The sequence below is a fragment of the Homo sapiens genome, chromosome 9, assembly GCF_000001405.40.
Source record: "Homo sapiens chromosome 9, GRCh38.p14 Primary Assembly".
NCBI lineage: Eukaryota > Metazoa > Chordata > Mammalia > Primates > Hominidae > Homo > Homo sapiens.
In genome coordinates, this window is record NC_000009.12 from 40,989,415 (window position 1) to 41,005,438 (window position 16,024).

The window sequence follows — 16,024 nt, forward strand, 5'->3', positions numbered from 1 at the left end:
TAAGAAGTAAACATTTAGAAATGTACAGTACCTTGCTGTTAAGTCTTCGCATAAGTATACCAATCAAACATAAAGGCCACCTTAAACTTTCATTTGAAATGAAAGACAATTTTTAAGAGGTTAAGGGCTAGTAATTTGTTAAAGTCCTGAAGTTAAATTAGCTCAAGTAAATATAAAGACTTTCCTTTAATTAAAGCCTTTTAAATGAACACTTTAAAGCATAGTTGGTTTCTCCCTCAAATCTTGTCCAAAGCCACTGTTTACAACTCAGTATATCAAAGAAGGTTTCAGACATGATTATGAAGCTCCCTCAACTTACAATGTGCTATTTGCAACCCTAGATGCTATCATTCTGGCTTTTCTACCTTTTAGCAACAATAAGCACACCCTTCCCATTTCTCCCCCACCCTGACTTACCCCTCTTTGCATTTAATAGATAATTTTTCTCAGAGTGTTCTTACACATCTTCAACTGTAAATATGACAAAAGCACACAGTACAGTACATGTGCCACATGTATAAATGTTGTATCTAGTCATACAATTTTCCTTTTAAAAAAGAAATATTTTATTTTCAAAAAGCAAAGACTCTAGGAATCTTTTCTAGCTGCCAGTCATAAAAACATAAATTTCTGGTTAGAGTCCCAAATTTCCCTGACCATAAGAACCACTTGTGGTATTTGTCAAACACATGTATTCTGAGTTCCATCCGTGATCTCCTGAATCAGAATCAGCAGGAGAGAGGCCTGGGAATACACATTTTAAACAAACGTCCACAGTGATTACGATTAGTCAAGCTTGAAAAAAATTTCACTAGGATCATTATGACTGAATAACCTCACAAACATAGGAAAGTTACTGGAGAAAAATACGAGCAGAATTTCAGAATTCTACCTTTGCTGAAAGTGTTTGTTCCCTCCTCCTCTACTCATCAAGACCTGACTGCTTATGTAACTCCCCCAAACCACCAACACCTGGGAGGAGTTGAAAATGATTTTAATGAAGAAGAAAAGCTGATGTTTAATTTCAAAACTGACGGTGACAATAGAAGGGAGAGGCATGAATTTATCTTGATTCTAACACAAAGCATTGTATTTGAGTCAACAAACAAAATTGGTTTCATTTTTATTTTTTGTAAGTTTTCACCAAACTCTATGCATATATAGAGGCTGGGCAAGAAAGAAAGAAATCCAGAAATATGGCATATGCCATCCCTTATTTATTTCCCCATGCGACCAGCCAACAGCTTCTTCAACTTGTCCCTGCTTCAAGCTGACTTGGTGTCTACTCTGTCAGAAATGGAGCTTCCCTAAAGACTGCCTCAATGTCAGTTACCCAGAGGCCTTTTTTCCATCTTGTGTTCCTAAACTTCTATGATATTAAATGATATTACCCTTTCTGGAAATTCTCCTTAGCTTTGATTTTATAATTTTACTCTGTTTCATTCCTTCTTTTATAGCCTTTCTTTTCTCTATCCCTTTACTGCAGACATGTTGTAAGGCTTTGTTCTTGACCTTCTGATCTCTCCACATTCATTCCCTCAGAGCATGTATCCATTTTCTTGGTGTCAGCCTTCCTGACTATCTGATTATTACCATCATATAACGATGTTGGTGATGAGCATAGCTAACATATCCTAGGCATTTTCCATGTAGGTTATCATAAGCACCCTATATAATTTGTACCATTTAATTCTTCAACCCTAAATGATACTATTACGGACCACATTGTATGAGATGAGGAAACAGATTTTCATCAAAACCATGGAAAGCCAACGTGAGGAGCCCCTGTGTGTCTCCTTTGTTAATGCCTCTGGGCATCATGGCATGTAGATTGCCCTAGAATGGGGATTAGGAAGCGCAGCACTGTGAAAACACCAGAAAATACGTTATGATAGCGGGTAAGGACGCTCATCTCTGCCCATTGAGATGGTTTTGTTTCTGAGTCAGGTTTGAGATGAGCCAATCCTGACTCCATGGTGCCACCAGGGATCACGAATTTAATAAGATCTTCGTGGATGCTTGGAACCCAACTGATCTCTGTTTTCTACTTTAGGGAAAGAGCCACAGCTTAAATGGGGTGGTTTTGGTGTCACATAAGCTATCAATAATACCCACGTTTTGGTGTCACATACGCGATTAATAATACCCACCGCTGCAGAGGAATCACCGTGGACTACTGCTCGTTTCATCCCATGCTCTTGCGATGGATCCCTCTCACCTGTTTACTGATTTCATTCAAATTCTTCAGCGACCACAGGACCCCGACTTGCCTTCTCTATCCTGGTTCCCATCACGCTGCTTTACAGGCCTGGCCTGCTCGCGGCTCCTCACACCAGCACTGTGCGTCTCCCTCCACGCCTCTGCCCTGTTTCCTCCATCAGACAGGACTAGCTTCCTCCACCATAACTCTCCACCTCAGCCCACATTCCCACAGCACTCGCGACATCCGCGGCCCTCAACATGGCGCTTCATTCCATTTTAGGGTATTTCCTCCTTGTTTCCTGCACACACAGTCGCGCGAGGCACAGCCCCGAGTGACCCGCGCACGAGTGGCCTGCGCTCCCAGACGCGCCGCCGCAGGCCGGCGAGGGCACCCTGAGCCGCTTCCCGCCCCCACGGGACCGTCGCCAGCCCGCAGCTCTAGCGGGAGGCAGTTCCACAGCGTGCCCGGCAGCCCCGCCACCGTCAGCACCGGCGCCTCGGGCGGGCTTTCCCCACCTCTGGGAGGCACGAATCCTCAGGGGCTCCTCGAGAGGGCGCCAGGGAGCAGATGCGCGCAGACACCTTTCGGCCCTCTGCAGCCGCCATAGCTCCCCAGCAGAAACCCGGAAGTGGAAATCTCAGCCATTCAGTGTTTGGGTGAAGACGGAGGCGGGTTCTGGACAGACCTACGCTGTCGGGGAGTGTTTACTTCGCCTCCACTTCTGTTCCTCCCCGCCCTGGTGCTGCTCCAGGTCACATACTCTTCCTGAGCCGGCTTCAGCCTCTCCGCGCAGAAGTCTCCCGGAGCCATGGCCTAGTATTCTTATGTGAAGTCTACCAAGCTTGTGCTCAAGGGAACCGAGGTGAAGAGCTGGGTCCTGCAGCTCCGGCGGGAGCCTCCTCAGTTCTTTTCGGACGCACTCCACCCCCGCGAATCCGGTGGAAGCCGTGATGCGGAGAGCCGGCTTCGTGGCCTCCCAGGCTTCGCTCTGACCCTGTCTGGGCTGGATGGAGGCCGGACCGCCCTTCCTGGCGCCTGTGCAGAGAGGGGCAGCCTCCTGCGCGGACGACCCTGGAAACAGGATAGACGGGCGGGTGACCCGTGACCCCGTACCCACGAGTTTGGGTCCCTTGAGGCATCTCTCCAGGCCTCTGCCTGGTGGGTCTGCGTTAGTCTGATCTTGTAGTTCATTATAATAACTTCCTTTATTAGGAATTATTCTTTTCTCCATTGTCTCTTCCTGGAAAAATTATTAATTTTTTTCTAAGCTAATATGTAGAGTGAAACCAGGATGAATCACACAGTGGTTGAGGTGTATATGGACTTTGATAGGGATATGGGCTGGAACCTGCACTCTGTCATTTACTAATTTTGTAATTTGTGGCAAATTGGTTAATATGTCTGAACTTCCATTTACTCATTAAGAGATCAAGTATCTTTGAACCTCCGTTTACACATTTATACTTTCAGACCATTTTTTATACCTTTAGAAGACTGTGAGGATTAAATGAGAGAACATACATGCAGTAAATAAATTGAGCCAAATGTGAGGAGGAGGTTGTAGTGGTAATTTATTAGCTCTTTAGGAGAAAAATACCTGTGCATTCATATCCCCGCTTCTTTTTTAACTGGCAGATTTGCCTGAGGTTGACTGTACATGCAAATATTGAGCTTTCCTCCTGGCCTCCGTGATAAACAGAAGTTTTGATATTGTTAGGCGAGATGGAAAGAAAGTATCAAGGAGTGAGCTGAAGCCACTGCCCTTGAGAACCCTCTCGAGGAGTCTGGCCTCATGAAGATGCCAGAATAAATGGCAGGTATATCCTGAATGAATGTGAGATTTTTACTCTGTGAATTTCCTGTGAGGAGTGGTGAGTTATCTTCTGAAAACTTTATGATGAAAATGCAGACAAGAGTATCTTAAGATTATCGTAATAATCATAATTAATGCTTATATAGCACTTTCAATGCGCCAAGAAATTGTAGGCATTTTGCACATTAACTTTTTTCAAATCCCTCTTGGGTTTTTATTTTTTTATTGCGATGTAATTCATAATTATAAAATTCACCCTTTTGTACAGTCAGTGGTTTTTAGTATATATCCAAGAGGTTCACCACTGTCTAGTTGCTCAGCATTTTTGTCATCTCAAAAGGAAATCTCTTCCTACCCATTAAAGCTGTCACATCCCATCTTCCCCCTCTCCTAGTCCATGGCAACCACTAGTCTGCTATCTATGTGAAATTGCCTATTCTGAATATTTCCTAAGAAATCATGTAACATGTGGCCTTTTGTATCTGGCTTCTTTCACTTACAACATTCTTGAGGTCCATCATTGTTGTAGCACTTGTTCCTTTTTATGGCTGCGTAGTGTAGTCCATTGTATGGATGTAATATTTTGTTCATCCATTCATCAGTTGATGAACATTTAGATTGTTTCCCCTTTTTGACTATTGTGACTAATGCTAGTGTGAATATTCTTATGTAAGTATTTTTGTGGGTGTACGTTTTCATTTCCCTTGGGTATACATACTTAGGAGTAAAATTGCTGGGTCATATGGTAACTCTTTAACTTTTTGAGGAACCCCAAACTGTTTCCTGTAGATGCTGCACCATTTTACATTTCCACCAGCAATGTGTGAAGATACATATTACCTCTTAATCCTCACAATAGACTTAAGAGTTAAGTTGTTATCCTAATTTTTTAAGTGGGGAAACTGACTCACAGAGAGATTCAGTACCTTTTCCAAAAATTGCAGAGCTAAGAAGTGACAGAATCGGGATTTAAAATCTGGCGGTGTGGCTCTACAATCTGCTTTGAACTTTAACATAATATGTACAAAGCCTGAAGCAAATTCTCAGTACTGTATTTAAGAGGGCATAGCAATGTAAGTCTTCCTAAATCAATAATTTATAAATGAAACAACTTAAAAGACTTCCAAGTTTCAATCTTACGATATTTATTTATCACACAAATCAATATACTTAAACTCATCTATATAAATTATTTCCTGTAGTAAGAAGAAAAAGAGCAAAGATAAGAAGAGAAAAAGAGAAGATGAAGAAACCCAGCTTGATATGTTGGTGAGTCAGTTTTCAGTGCTTTATTCTGAAAAAAGTTAACATTTCTTGAGATCTCATTGAAAATATTTTCCTAGTTAGAAATTTATGATGTATTCATATTTGTCTTAAAGTGCTTAAATATTGCCTACAGTTGTAAATTCCATTTATTCTTTAGCACAGTAGATGCTACTGATGCCTTTACTTCATTATCAGAACAGAGCACAGGAGAGAAGAATTACAACACTCTGACTTAGTAGGCACCATTAGACTGCTTAATAGCCGGAGATTCTGATACATAATTTTAAAGGCTTAATGTAAATGTTATTCAACCAAATATATTTTACAAGCTATTTTCTTTGAACATCTGTACATTTTAGTTGTAGAAGTCAGTTGTCTCTTAAACGAAGTATCTTCACAGGAAAAATCATTATTTTGTGAACTCTGAAATGAATGAAAATTTTAAATACAATATCAGGGTGGCCTGTAAATGATACTAGAAATAAACTGACCCAAACACACTTAACCAGCCTGTTTTCCGTTTAGCTGTTTCCATACTTTTTTTTCTTTTTTAAAACTTGGCAAGTTGCATTTTGAATCTTCATAAATTATGGTAGCTTAAAAAATATATAAAATATGGAATGGTGTAAAGCTAATGTTCTGGAAGATCATTGCTTTTGAAATGGCAAATCAACAATTCTAAAATTAGGGTAAATATCTAGGGTAGATATGTAGATGTGGAATTGCTGTGTCAAAGGATAGTTGAATGTTTAACTATATAAGAAACTGTCAAAAATTTTCTAAAGTGGTTGTGCTATTTTATCCTCCCAACAAGAATGAATTAGTTCTCCAGTTACATCCTTGCCAAGAGTTGATGGTGTTATCAGTCTTTTCTCCCAGTCTGAGTTTTACCTTTTCAGTTTCTTAATGGTGGTTTTTGGATGGACAGCTTTTTTTTTTTTTTTTTTTTGAGATGGAGTCTTGCTCTGTCACCCAGACTGGAGGGCAGTGGCGCAATCTTCGTTCACTGCTAGGTCCACCTCCCAGGTTCACGCCATTCTCCTGCCTTAGCCTCCCAAGTAGCTGGGACTACAGGCACCTGCCACCACGCCCAGCTAATTTTTTGTGTTTTTAGTAGTGACAGGGTTTCACCATGTTAGCCAGGATGGTCAGAAGCTTTTAATTTTTATAAAGCTTAGTTTATTTTTTTTTCTTTTATGGTTACTGCCTTATCTCTTTGATCTAAGAGATCTTTGCTTACCCCAAAGTCAGGAAGATATTCTACATTGTCTTTTAGAGGCATCATAGTTTTAGTTTTTACATTAAATCTGTCATTAATCTCAAATTAATTTTTGGCATGGTGTGAGTTTGGTTTCAAGATTTACTTTTTTTTTTTTTTAACATCTTGATAGCCATTTGTGCCAGCACCACTGGTGTTTCCTTTTTCCATTAATCCAGTTTCATATCTTCATAAAAAGTCAATTAACTTTCTATGTATTGGTCTATTTCTGGACTCTGTTCTATCGATTGTCTGTTTTTCTTTTGGTATATTTCTCTTGATTGCTATAATTTCATGAAGTCTTGAGATCAGGTAGTGTGTGTCCTCCAACTTTGTACTTACTATTAGTTTATTAATTTCTACAGTGAAGCCTGTTGGATTTTCTCGGAGAATTGTATTGAGTCCAGATCATTTGGGGGAGAATCAACATCTTAATATTGGGCCTCAATATTTCATAATTTTCAATGTAGCAGTCTTGCATGCCTGTTTAAAAATTTATTCTTAAGTATTTTATAATTTTACATTACTGTGTAGAACTTTTGAATTTGACTTTCCAGTTGTTTGCTGTCAGTATGTAGATATACAATTGATTTTTGTATAGTGACTTTATAGTCTGATAAGTCTGTTTCACTTATTACTTCTAGTGGTTTGTTTATATAGAAAACTAAGAAATTTGCAATTATGTTTCCTGTGACTATCATTTTACTTCTTTCTTTCGAATCTTAATGTCTTGTCTTGCTTTTTATTGGTTTATTATACTGTCCAGGACTTCCATAGTGTTGAACAGAAGTCACGAGAATGGGCATAATTGCATTGTTTCCAAGCTTAGGCAGAAAGGTTTCAGTAGTCCACCATATGGTATGATGTCTGTACGATCTACAGAGAAAACCTTTATCAAAATGAGGACATTCCTTTTAAACTTTGTTTCTCGGCAGTTTTTATCATAACGATGTTTAATGCTGTCAAATGTCTCCTTCTGTATCTGTTGAGATGATTATACAACTTTCTTCATTCTGCCAGTGAATTACATTGGTTTCATTTTCAACTTTTAAACTAACTTTACATCCCTGAGATAAACCCCACTTGGTTGTGGTGCATTGTCCTTTGGAATATTGCTAGAGTTGATTTCTAGGTTTTTTTTTTTTTTTTAAGATTTCTATATTGGTGTTGATGGAGATATTGGACTTTTGTATCCTTTTCTTGTAATGTCTTTATTTGATTTTGGTGTCAAGGTGATATTGGGTGTCATAAAATTAGATGGGAAGTGCTGTCTCCTTCCCTGTTTTTGGAAATAGCTGTGTAAGATAGGTATGATTTCTTCTTTACATGTTTGATAGGATTTACCAGTGAAGTCATCTGAACCTAGAGGGTTTTGTTTGGTTTGGTTTTAGTTTTTTGTGGGAGAATTAAGATTTTTTAAGAGATATTTTCAGATTTTTCTGTTGTCAGTTTTGGTAATTTGTGTCTTTTAGGAAAATTTCATTTCATCCAAGTTGTTGGATTTATTGGCATAAAATTTTTCAGAATATTCCTTTAATATCCTTCTAATGTCTGTAGAATCTAATCTGTATTGCAGTCTCTTCATATTGGTAATTTGTGTTTTTTCTATTTTTTCCTGGATCAGTCAGTCTAGCTGGAGATTTATCAATTCTTTATAAGATCACTTATTTTAGATCATTAATGATCTTTTAGTACAGGGGTATTCACTCTTTTAGCTTCCCTGGGCCACAACGGAAGGAGAAGAATTGTCTTGGGCCACACATAGGATACATTAACGATAAGCTGATGAGCCAAAAAAAAGGAAAAAAAATCTCATAATGTTTCAAGAAAGTTTACAAATTTGTGTTGGGCTGCATTCAAACCTGGCCTGGGCCACATGCAGCCCTCAGGTTGGACAAGCCTGTTTCAGTATTACTTATTTTCTTTTTTTCATTTTTTATTTCATTTATTTTCAGTCTTTTTTTTTCCTCCCTTTAACTTATTTTCAGTTTACTTTGCTCTTGTTTTATTGCTTCTTAAGAAGAGAGTTAGATCTCTTCATTCCACGTTAGTTTTAGTTATAGTCAACACATTTTGCTTTCGTTTTCATTCCATTCAAAATATCATCTAGTTTTCCTTGTGATTTTTCTTTTCATGGACACTTGAGTTATTTAAAAGTGTATTTTTTTTAATTTCTACTACATAGAGATATTATAGGTATGTTATTGTTGCTGATTTCTAATTCATTTATAGTATAGTTGGAGAACATACATTCTTAGTGAATTTCCATGTACACTTGAAAAGAATGTGTATTCTGTAGATGTTGGTTCAGGGTTTTTTTTTTTTTTTTTTTTTTTGGAGATGAAGTCGCACTCTGTTGCCCAGCAGGCTGGAGTGCAGTGGAACGATCTCCGCTCACTGCAGCCTCCGCCTCCCAGGTTCAAGTGATTCTCCTGCCTCAGCCTCTGGAGGAGCTGGAATTACAGGCACCTGCCACCACGCCTGGCTAATTTTTTTAATATTTTTAATAGAGGCGGGGTTTCACCACGTTGGCCAAGCTGGTCTCAAACTCCTGACCTCAGGCGATCCACCCGCCTCGGCCTCCCAAAGTGCTGGGATTACGGGCGTGAGCCGTGGTGCCCGGTGGTTCAGTGTTCTTTAGATGTCAGTTAGATCAACTGGTGGAGCTTGTGACTATGCACATCTTCTGTGTCCTTACTGATTTTTTACTCATCCTACAATGTATTGAGAGTTATGTTAAAATCTCCAGCTGTAATTCTAGATCTGTCTACTTGAGCAGTTTTTGCTTAAAGTATTTTGAAGCTGTCATGTGTACGCATTTAGGATTGTTAATTCTTCCTTATAAATTCAGTCTTTCATTTTCATAACATTTTAACCTTTATTTCTGTTAAATGTCTTGATGCCTAGTTATATTATTTGACCACCCTTTTGCTCCTGTCAAGCCTGGGCCTTTGTTAGTTTGTGCTTATTTATTAGGTTTTTGCCTGTAGACTTAGACAGTGACTCTTACTCTAGGAAAGGTTCATCCTCATGGGCCTCAGCCACATGTTCTAGGTATACTTGATGAGTTCTCTCCACTCTGCTATGTCCCAAATTTGTGTGCTCTCTGGCATCTCCAGTCAGCCCTCAGAAGTGCCAGCCACTCTGCAGAGGCCTTGTGGAGCCTGCCTGCTGTATGCACTCCCCCCAGCCCTTGGCCCCAGACCTGCAGAGAACTTTTGCATTCTCTTTTGAGGCCTCACCTGTATGTAGTTCCCTCTTCTCCAGTACCTTATTCTATGAACTCCAAACACGTTAGCACTGCAAGACTCTCAGCTTAGTGACAGTGACATTGCCTCATTTTTGGAGGTCTCTACCTCTCTCTGTGTGGTCGAGAAACTGCCATTGGGCAGAAAACAGAAGTGTGTGTGAGATTTGCCTCCTGTGTTTTCCTGTTCTCAAATATCACAGTCCTGTTCTGCCTGTGTTCCAATCCCTGAAAACAGTTTTCTCAAATATTCTATCCAGCTTCAGTCGTTGGTCATGGTGGGAGGGCAAGTTCATCTTGGCTGGAAGAGGAAGTCCTTCTGCGTCTTTTTCTCCTTGTCCTTCCACCTTCTTTTGCATTGTGGATTTTCTAAACTTGCCATATAAGTAAGCATGTGCCTATTTGTGAAGGGAAAGAAAAAACCCTTTTAATTTTTTGAAGCTGTTCTGTTGGTTCCTCACAAGGATCTGAAGGGATTGGTAAATAGGATGAAAGAAATTCTGTCTTTCACATGGAGAATACCGTGTGTGACATTAATAAAAATGAGCATGTCTGTAAGCAAAGAGTTTCACTGAGCTCTGCTAGAATCAGAAGCAACTGAACTTACATCGTAGTTTGCAAAACACAGATTTGATTTACCCAGGAACTAAAGCTGAGTAAGCTATGGGTTAATAGAAGGTCTGTGAAGGGTACTTAGACTACAGTAAGATTGGGGAAGAAAATTCCATTTCCAAATCTAAGATATATCATTCCTTTGTGCCAAGCACATAATGAAGGTAGAGGTTTAAGGGGGCCCTTAGCACAGAAGCACTGGGTTAGTCAGAAGGTGAGGTGAGCTGTCACACAGCCTTGATGCTAGAATGAGGGTGCCCTGATAGTGTCTTATCAGCCATGACACTGGTGCATCGGGCCAGGTTTGTTTTTTTTTCTTTTTTTTGAGACAGGCTGTTGCTTTGTTACTCAGGCTAGAGTGCAGTGACACGATCATGGCTCAGTGCACCCTTGACCTCGTAGGCTCAAGCAATCCTCTCACCTCGAACTCCCGAGTAGCTGGGACCACAGTCTTGTACCACCATACCCAGCTAATTTCTTAATTTTTTTGTAGAGATGGGGGTCTCCTTTTGTTGCCTAGGCTGATTTTGAACTCCTGGGCTTAAGTGATTCTCCTGCTTCCACCTCTCAAAGTGCTGGATTACAGGCATGCCAGACATATGGAAACATTCTCAACTATCTGAAAATACGTGAAAAGCTTTGTTATGCATTGTGAGACAATACAGCAGGAATATTTCACCATCTGCCTAAGGTTTAAAAGGAAATAACTTTAAGCATGTGTCTAAATAGGAAGTAATGTTTTAGAGCGGATTCTCTTAAATTCAGCTTGTGCGTCTGCAGCATATACACAGCTTGAGCTGTAACCTGACATAGAGACAGGCAACTTCAGTGCCCACTGTTCTTAGGATCCACTGCTTTTTCACAGCTAAAACCCCTGAGTGGCACTGTTAAGTATTATGTTATGTTACTTTAGTCGTTAAACGTATAAGCATACCTCCAAAGGTTGAATGTAGGCCACTTGCAGAAAGTAGGCAGAATGCTCACATTTAATTCTTGATAATACTGTGTTTAGCTTTCTTATTCTTTGAAATCTCATTGAGAAGAAATACTGGCATCTGTTCAAAGTAATTTCTTTTTCAGTTGACAATATTATAAGTAATGTTATTGTATCATTTCCCTACTTGGACAGAGTGTGAAAATTTTGAGGAGCTTGTCTGCCAGAAATTTCTTCTTCATTTGCAAAACATTAATGAGATATTATATTTAAATAATTTTGTTTAATATTAAGTGTACTTGGTGAATGTGGCATAGAACATACAAAATAAAACTAATTTAAAATTATTAACTATTACATTTATAAGAAAGACTTGCTAATCATAACACTGTTGATAATGATTCTGAATAAAGCATTATTTCTTTTCCTGAAAACAATTGTAGCTATAACTCAATCATCTAAATTGCTTATTAGTTTTATTTCTTTTTAATTGTCTATTTTGATTAATTTTCTTTTTCTCCATTGGTTTCGTGTGTTTGTGGAGGTAAAATATACAGAATATAGAATTTGCCAGTTTTTCTATTTTTACGTGTACACTTCAGTGGCATTTAAATACATGCACCATTTTACCTTCCCACCAGCATTGCACAGGGTTTCAGTTTCTCCACATCCTGCCCAACATTTGTTTTTCTGGTTTTCTTGATTTCTGTTTTTTATTTGTTTTGATAATAGCATTCTAATGGGTGTGAAGTGGTATTGCATTATGGTTTTGATTTATATTTCCCTAGTGACTAGTGAAGTTGAGCGTCTTTTCGAGTGCTTATTGGCCATTTGTATATCATCTTTGGAGCAATGTCCGTATATATCCTTTGCCCAGTTTTGAATTGTGGTATTTGTCCTTTTGGAGTTCTCTACATAGTCTGGATATTAATTCCTTATAATGTATGTAGTTTACACATATTTTCTCCATTCTCTGGGTTGCCTTTTATTCTGACAGTGGTTCTTGATGCACAAAAGTTTTTAATTCTGATGAAGTCCAGTTTGTCTGTGTTTTCTTTTGTTGCCTGTGCCTTTGATGTTCTATATAAGAAATCATTGCCAAATTCATTGTCGTGAAGCTTTTTCCATCTTATTCTAAAAGTTTTCTAACTTTAGCTCTTACATTTAGGTCTTTGGTCTATTTTAAGTTACTTTTTGTATTTGGTGTTAGATAAGGGTCCAACTTCATTTTAGCTAAAATTTTATGTATTTTAAAATTGATTATGAAAAGCATGAAATGTTTAGTTGAATAGAAAATTTTGTGCAGTGGAATTAACTGAATCTTTAAAACCTTTTTATTATGGAAATATCCAAACTAATCCATACATAGAAGAATATAATGAGTCCCCCATGTGCCCAGGCCCCAGCATTAATTATCAATATTTTGCCAATTTCGTTTCATTTACATACACACCCCCACACACGTTTTTTCCTAAAAAATTTTAAGTAAAATCACAGATATTACATCATTTTATCCATAAGTACATAAATGGACATTTCTTTTTTATTTATTTATTTTTTTATTATTATACTTTAAGTTTTAGGGTACATGTGCACATTGCGCAGGTTAGTTACATACGTATACATGTGACATGCTGGTGTGCTGCACCCACTAACTCATCATCTAGCATTAGGTATACCTCCCAATGCTATCCCTCCCCCCTCCCCCCACCGCACAACAGTCCCCAGAGTGTGATGTTCCCCTTCCTGTGTCCATGTGATCTCATTGTTCAATTCCCACCTATGAGTGAGACTATGCGGTGTTTGGTTTTTTGTTCTTGCGATAGTTTACTGAGAATGATGATTTCCAATTTCATCCATGTCCCTACAAAGGACATGAACTCATCATTTTTTATGGCTGCATAGTATTCCATGGTGTATATGTGCCACATTTTCTGAATACAGTCTATCATTGTTGGACATTTGGGTTGGTTCCAAGTCTTTGCTATTGTGAATAATGCCGCAATAAACATACGTGTGCATGTGTCTTTATAGCAGCATGATTTATAGTCCTTTGGGTATATACCCAGTAATGGGATGGCTGGGTCAAAAGGTATTTCTAGTTCTAGATCCCTGAGGAATTGCCACACTGACTTCCACAATGGTTGAACTAGTTTACAGTCCCACCAACAGTGTAAAAGTGTTCCTATTTCTCCACATCCTTTCCAGCACCCGTTGTTTCCTGACTTTTTAATGATTGCCATTCTAACTGGTGTGAGATGGTATCTCATTGTGGTTTTGATTTGCATTTCTCTGATGGCCAGTGATGGTGAGCATTTTTTCATGTGTTTTTTGGCTGCATAAATGTCTTCTTTTGAGAAGTGTCTGTTCATGCCCTTTGTCCACTTTTTGATGGGGTTGTTTTTTTCTTGTAAATTTGTTTGTGTTCATTGTAGATTCTGGATATTAGCCCTTTGTCAGATGAGTAGGTTGTGAAAAATTTCTCCCATTTTGTAGGTTGCCTGTTCACTCTGATGGTAGTTTCTTTTGCTCTGCAGAAGCTCTTTAGTTTAATTAGATCCCATTTGTCAATTTTGGCTTTGGTTGCCATTGCTTTTGGTGTTTTAGACATGAAGTCCTTGCCCATGCCTATGTCCTGAATGGTAATGCCTAGGTTTTCTTCTAGGGTTTTTATGGTTTTAGGTCTAGTGTTTAAGTCTTTAATCCATCTTGAATTGATTTTTGTATAAGGTGTAAGGAAGGGATCCAGTTTCAGCTTTCTACATATGGCTAGCCAGTTTTCCCAGCACCATTTATTAAATAGGGAATCCTTTCCCCATTTCTTGTTTTTGTCAGGTTTGTCAAAGATCAGATAGTTGTAGATATGCGGCATTATTTCTGAGGGCTCTGTTCTGTTCCATTGATCTATATCTCTGTTTTGGTACCTGTACCATGCTGTTTTGGTTACTGTAGCCTTGTAGTATAGTTTGAAGTCAGGTAGTGTGATGCCTCCAGCTTTGTTCTTTTGGCTTAGGATTGACTTGGTGATGCAGGCTCTTTTTTGGTTCCATATGAACTTTAAAGTAGTTTTTTCCAATTCTGTGAAGAAAGGCATTGGTAGCTTGATGGGGATGGCATTGAATCTGTAAATTACCTTGGGCAGTATGGCCATTTTCACGATATTGATTCTTCCTACCCATGAGCATGGAATGTTCTTCCATTTGTTTGTATCCTCTTTTATTTCCTTGAGCAGCAGTTTGTAGTTCTCCTTGAAGAGGTCCTTCACATCCCTTGTAAGTTGGATTCCTAGGTATTTTATTCTGTTTGAAGCAATTGTGAATGGGAGTTCACTCATGATTTGGCTCTCTGTTTGTTTGTTGTTGGTGTATAAGAATGCTTGTGATTTGTGTACATTGATTTTGTATCCTGAGACTTTGCTGAAGTTGCTTATCAGCTTAAGGAGATTTTGGGATGAGATGATGGGGTTTTCTAGATATACAATCATGTCATCTGCAAACAGGGACAATTTGACTTCCTCTTTTCCTAATTGAATACCTTTTATTTCCTTCTCCTGCCTAATTGCCCTGGCCAGAACTTCCAACACTATGTTGAATAGGAGTGGTGAGAGAGGGCATCCCTGTCTTGTGCCAGTTTTCAAAGGGAATGCTTCCAGTTTTTGCCCATTCAGTATGATATTGGCTGTGGGTTTGTCATAGATAGCTCTTATTATTTTGAAATATGTCCCATCAATACCTAATTTATTGAGAGTTTTTAGCATGAAGGGTTGTTGAATTTTGTCAAAGGCCTTTTCTGCATCTGTTGAGATAATCATGAGGTTTTTGTCTTTGGTTCTGTTTATATGCTGGATTACATGTATTGATTTGCATATATTGAACCAGCCTTGCATCCCAGGGATGAAGCCCACTTGATCTTGGTGGATAAGCTTTTTGATGTGCTGCTGGATTCTGTTTGCCAGTATTTTATTGAGGATTTTTGCATCAATGTTCATCAAGGATATTGGTCTAAAATTCTCTTTTTTGGTTGTGTCTCTGCCCGGCTTTGGTATCAGAATGATGCTGGCCTCATAAAATGAATTAGGGAGGATTCCCTCTTTTTCTATTGATTGGAATAGTTTCAGAAGGAATGGTACCAGTTCCTCCTTGTACCTCTGGTAGAATTTGGCTGTGAATCCATCTGGTCCTGGACTCTTTTTGGTTGGTAAGCTATTGATTATTGCCACAATTTCAGATCCTGTTATTGGTCTATTCAGAGATTCAACTTCTTCCTGGTTTAGTCTTGGGAGAGTGTATGTGTCAAGGAATTTATCCATTTCTTCTAGATTTTCTAGTTTATTTGCGTAGAGGTGTTTACAGTATTCACTGATGGTAGTTTGTATTTCTGTGGGATCGGTGGTGATATCCCCTTTATCATTTTTTATTGCGTCTATTTGATTCTTCTCTCTTTTCTTCTTTATTAGTCTTGCTAGTGGTCTATCAATTTTGTTGATCCTTTCAAAAAACCAGCTCCTGGATTCATTAATTTTTTGAAGGGTTTTTTGTGTCACTATTTCCTTCAGTTCTGCTCTGATTTTAGTTATTTCTTTCCTTCTGCTAGCTTTTGAATGTGTTTGCTCTTGCTTTTCTAGTTCTTTTAATTGTGATTTTAGGGTGTCAATTTTGGATCTTTCCTGCTTTCTCTTGTGGGCATTTAGT

General features: G+C 38.7%; 1 long non-coding RNA gene and 1 pseudogene across 3 annotated transcripts in view, besides 7 other annotated features; one reads left to right on the forward strand and one right to left on the reverse strand.

Annotated features, from left to right (window-relative positions):
* LOC107986997 (uncharacterized) overlaps nt 1–2,417 on the reverse strand; it is a 46,412-nt gene extending 43,995 nt beyond the window's left edge. Inside the window, exon 1 of the long non-coding RNA XR_001746463.3 lies at nt 2,151–2,417. This is a non-coding gene — a long non-coding RNA (uncharacterized LOC107986997). The remainder of the gene's footprint in view (nt 1–2,150) is intronic.
* Nucleotides 1,601–2,330: an enhancer, noted in NCBI's record as "NANOG-H3K27ac hESC enhancer chr9:68725219-68725948 (GRCh37/hg19 assembly coordinates)". NCBI's record gives its function as "activates a minimal SCP1, AML or CMV promoter by ChIP-STARR-seq in naive H9 embryonic stem cells {active_cell/tissue: H9 hESC(naive)}" and the evidence as "EXISTENCE:reporter gene assay evidence [ECO:0000049][PMID:30033119]".
* Nucleotides 1,601–2,343: a biological region, named in NCBI's record as "NANOG-H3K27ac hESC enhancer GRCh37_chr9:68725219-68725948".
* Nucleotides 2,154–2,343: an enhancer, noted in NCBI's record as "active region_28423". NCBI's record gives its function as "activates an Ori minimal core promoter by ATAC-STARR-seq in GM12878 lymphoblastoid cells {active_cell/tissue: GM12878}" and the evidence as "EXISTENCE:reporter gene assay evidence [ECO:0000049][PMID:35858748]".
* Nucleotides 2,494–2,703: a silencer, noted in NCBI's record as "silent region_19919". NCBI's record gives its function as "represses an Ori minimal core promoter by ATAC-STARR-seq in GM12878 lymphoblastoid cells {active_cell/tissue: GM12878}" and the evidence as "EXISTENCE:reporter gene assay evidence [ECO:0000049][PMID:35858748]".
* Nucleotides 2,744–3,093: an enhancer, noted in NCBI's record as "active region_28424". NCBI's record gives its function as "activates an Ori minimal core promoter by ATAC-STARR-seq in GM12878 lymphoblastoid cells {active_cell/tissue: GM12878}" and the evidence as "EXISTENCE:reporter gene assay evidence [ECO:0000049][PMID:35858748]".
* FRG1HP (FSHD region gene 1 family member H, pseudogene) overlaps nt 2,847–16,024 on the forward strand; it is a 46,843-nt pseudogene continuing 33,665 nt past the window's right edge. Inside the window, exons 1-3 of one of the 2 annotated variants that reach the window (NR_034006.3) lie at nt 2,847–3,361; nt 3,839–4,020; nt 5,219–5,285. The product of NR_034006.3 is annotated as an FSHD region gene 1 family member H, pseudogene, transcript variant 1 (transcript). The remainder of the gene's footprint in view (nt 3,362–3,838; nt 4,021–5,218; nt 5,286–16,024) is intronic. The other variant, NR_156730.1, reaches the window with a different exon arrangement.
* Nucleotides 3,114–3,173: an enhancer, noted in NCBI's record as "active region_28425". NCBI's record gives its function as "activates an Ori minimal core promoter by ATAC-STARR-seq in GM12878 lymphoblastoid cells {active_cell/tissue: GM12878}" and the evidence as "EXISTENCE:reporter gene assay evidence [ECO:0000049][PMID:35858748]".
* Nucleotides 3,184–3,253: an enhancer, noted in NCBI's record as "active region_28426". NCBI's record gives its function as "activates an Ori minimal core promoter by ATAC-STARR-seq in GM12878 lymphoblastoid cells {active_cell/tissue: GM12878}" and the evidence as "EXISTENCE:reporter gene assay evidence [ECO:0000049][PMID:35858748]".